The sequence below is a fragment of the Homo sapiens genome, chromosome 7 (assembly GCF_000001405.40).
Source record: "Homo sapiens chromosome 7, GRCh38.p14 Primary Assembly".
In the NCBI taxonomy this organism is placed as follows: domain Eukaryota; kingdom Metazoa; phylum Chordata; class Mammalia; order Primates; family Hominidae; genus Homo; species Homo sapiens.
In genome coordinates this window covers 153,043,190-153,047,001 of record NC_000007.14, presented here as the reverse complement: position 1 = coordinate 153,047,001, position 3,812 = coordinate 153,043,190, and the positions used below count along the sequence as shown (strand labels likewise).

At 46.1% G+C, this 3,812-nt stretch overlaps 1 annotated feature.

Moving 5' to 3' along the window:
* Window positions 2,853-3,352: an enhancer, noted in NCBI's record as "H3K4me1 hESC enhancer chr7:152740735-152741234 (GRCh37/hg19 assembly coordinates)". NCBI's record gives its function as "activates a minimal SCP1, AML or CMV promoter by ChIP-STARR-seq in primed H9 embryonic stem cells {active_cell/tissue: H9 hESC(primed)}" and the evidence as "EXISTENCE:reporter gene assay evidence [ECO:0000049][PMID:30033119]".

The window sequence follows — 3,812 nt, the reverse complement described above, 5'->3', positions numbered from 1 at the left end:
GCAACTAAAATACAAGGGGCTTGCATTAGTCAGGGTTCCCTGCAGAAACAGAACCTATATACACACACACATATATATATACACACACACACACACACACACACACACCACACACACACATATATACATACCCATATATATGTGGAGAAACAGAACATATATCTATATATATGGGCCAATTCCCAACATATATATGAGTAAATCTCTGTCACTCTCTCTCTCCATATACATGTGAAAAAACAGCATGCATATATATATATATATATGCATGCCAATTTCCTATGGTAGTAAATCTCTCTCTCTCTCCCTGTCCATATGGAAAATTGATAAAAATTTTCCATATGGACATATGAAAAAATGATAAAATTTTTTCTAGAAAGAAAATACATTACTGTCCATATGGAAAGGAAGAGAGAGAGATTTACTACTATAAGGAATCAACTCATATGATTATGGAGGACAAAAAGTCCCAAGATCTGCAGGCTGAGTCTACAAGCTGGAGACCCAGGAGAGCTGACAGTGTAGCTGCAGGGTCGAGACCCAAGAATAGTTGATGTTTTGGCTTGAGTTTGAAGACAGGAAAGAATGGATGTCCCAGCTCAAAAGCAGGCAGGCAGGCAGGCAGGAGAAACTCATGCTTTTTTAGCTTTCTTTGTCCTGTTTAGGCCTTCACCTGATTAAATGAAGCCCACCCACTCTGCCTTACTCGGCCTACCTGTTCAAACGTTAATCTCATCCAGAATCACCCTCGCAGACACACACAGAACAATTTTTGACCAACAGTCTGGGCCCTCTGTAGCCCAGTCAAACAACACATAAAATTAACCATCACAGCACCTTCTTATCAGCAACACTGGTGTAAGACAAGTCAGTGGCCCCAAGATCTCTGTGATGTAAAACCTTGGAGGAGATAGATGAAATTTTTTCTAGAAAGAAAATACATTACTGAGAGGCAGAGATGAACTTTTAGAGAGAGAAAGAGAGACAGAGTTAGACTAAGTTTGTATCTATTTTTAAAGACTGTAATTTAGAGCGGTTGTGGGATTTTGGGGGTCTGTCTTTCATTTTGTTTTTTGAATGAGGAATTTCTCTGACAAAGCAGTCAACGTGTGCTCCCAAATCACTTAGTAAGCAGACTAAAACAAAAAAAGTCTACAATTTTGAGATTTTGGAACTATTTGTCTAAGCAATGTAGAAGTTGGCATCATAGAGGCAGAAAGATGTGTCTTTCTTCATTAAAAAGTTCTAAATTGGCCAGGCTCGGTGGTTCATGCGTGTAATCCCAGCACTTTGGGAGGCTGAGGCGGGTGGATCACGAGGTCAGGAGATCGAGACCATCCTGGCTAACACGGTGAAACCCCGTCTCTACTAAAAATACCAAAAAAAAATTAGCTAGGCGTGGTGGTGGGCACCTGTAGTCCCAGCTACTCGGAAGGCTGAGGCAGGAGAATGGCGTGTACCCAGGAGGCGGAGTTTGCAGTGAGCTGAGATTGTGCCACTGCACTCCAGCCTGGGTGACAGAGCGAGACTCCATCTCAAAAAAACTAAAACTAAAAATAAAAATAAAATAAAATAAAATAAAATTCGCATTTGCTTCCCTCTGTCACTGTCATTCCTGGCATCACCTGGGAACACACTTACAACAAAGACCAAGTGAATAACTCTGGATGGACAGAAAACACATTAGTCATTTCCCAGCTCCATTCCAAAGCCTAGCTGAGCTTATTAGATTTGATTAAAGGACTTTGAGTTTAGCTTGTTGGAGAGATAAGGATTAAGCAATAAGGAGCTTTCCCTCCCTAGGATCCCCAAAGTCATCAGCACAAAAGAGCAGTGCTCTAGCTTCTTGGATGCTTTTCCTAAACTGCCAGGGTCTCTTCCTTCATTTGTATTAATGAAATCAGTCAAAAAGGATTAAGCTTTCTGTAGCTTTGAAACTTTTGCAACTCATAAATTATTGAATATAAAAGCTGGAAAGGAGTTTAGAAGGAATCCCAATCTAAAACCTCATTTTACAAATATGAGAACCAGAGAAATTAACTGACTTGCCCAAGGTCACATAGCAAGTTCCAGGCAGAGCACTGAGGAGAACCCAGGTCTCTTGTCTCCTGAATTAGGCCTGCTTTCTGCCTTCTCTCACCCCTAGAAGTGGAGACTGAACCACACGGGGACTAGAAGATGATGGAGGAGTGCCCACTCGAGCTGATCATTTTTGTTGCAATGTCTCTGCTCTGTGTCTGTCAAACTAGATGCATGGATTTTGAGCAGCAAGCAGCTCCGACATTTCACTAGAGACTGCCGAGGGAGTGGTGTCCCAGGAAAGCTACGGGGCTATAAAACTGGAAGGAAGGGAAAGGGTGACATGGAAACACAGTGGAGAAAATGCACCTTGGTGACCAGTGCTGCAGACCACGCGGCCCCTGTGTGTTGCATTTACGGCCACTATAAAACCACAGCCTGGACAGTGAGAACCCCCTGGACAGGAGAGGCCTCCGCTGAGCTTGCCGGGCACCCTTCCTCCAAAGAGCAGCGAACCGTGGAATGCAGGAGCTTCAGGACTGGAAAAGACGGAAGGCCCTCTCACATCAGGGTCACAACAGGTCAGGGTCAAAGCCAGGACTAGAATGTAGATCCTATCGCACTCTAGTCTGCAACCCCAAAGGGACCCACTCTACAATGACAAGCAGATGTAGGGTGAGGGAATGGTGGGAGTGTCATGGAAGGATGATAGTGGCTGCATCCGGGAGGGCCACATCCCAGAGAGGTCAATAGCACCCACACATAGGTGGTGGCTGGAGCCGGGGTGCCTGCCATGAGGCCCTGTAATTACCTGGATTCATCCAGCCCAGAGAGGTGATTTCTTGGTTACCTGGCACACGTTGACCACCTACCTGTGAGCAACTCTGTGCCAGATATTTTGGAGATTCAGAAGACACTGAGACCAGACATCATTCTTCTCTGTCTCGAGGCCCTTTCTGCCCATGGCTGAAAGGGTGTTCTCGCTCTAAATCTTTGTTCTCAGCTTGCCACATCCTTTTAGTCTTACCATGCCATGTGACTGTTGTTGCCTTGAGTTCTTGTTTCAGAATATGTCTATTTAGTTGTGGGGCCTACATTTCCCTGACATCCCTTCCCTTTTGGTTTTGGGTTGGGACTGGCCAGAAGAGAGCTCAAAGAGACTTGGAGGGGGCGTGCTAGTGCAGCCACTGCCATGCTCTGCAAGGGAGCTCAGGGCAGGTACTGCTGGGGCTCATGCCTGTCGTCTGTGACCCCTCTGGCTCACCTGCCACAGGGCAGCGCATGCTGGGACACCACCTTCAGCCTGTGACATCTGGGGCTGGGGGCACGTGCAGCCCCTCCTGCAGGTGGCCACGTCATCGCTATGAGAGGGGTGAGAGGCAGGTGCGGTTCCAGGCTGCTCAGCCTCCCTGTCCATCTTTCCTTCCTGCTGGACAGCCTCAGGCCCAGCGGCAGATGCAGAGGCAACAGCCTCCCCCAGATGGCCTAAGGAGCTCCACGGTTGCACCAGATCTGCCTCCTATACTAAGTTCCTTCCTCCAGGCCAGTCACATCTCTGATTGAACACTATCCAATACCTGTTATTATTAAGACCTTTTACAGCTTGAGCCACTCATGAAAATTTTATGTTGCTTCTTATGGTATTATTTTTCCCTACCTTAGAGGTCACTTTTCCAGGCTTATGGCCTGAAGCATGACCCCCCAGTCCCCACCTCATTGCTGACTTTTATTTATATATTTATTTTGTGTGTGTTGAAGGAAGGAGGCTCTGTGATCTGTCTCCTTCTGTTCTC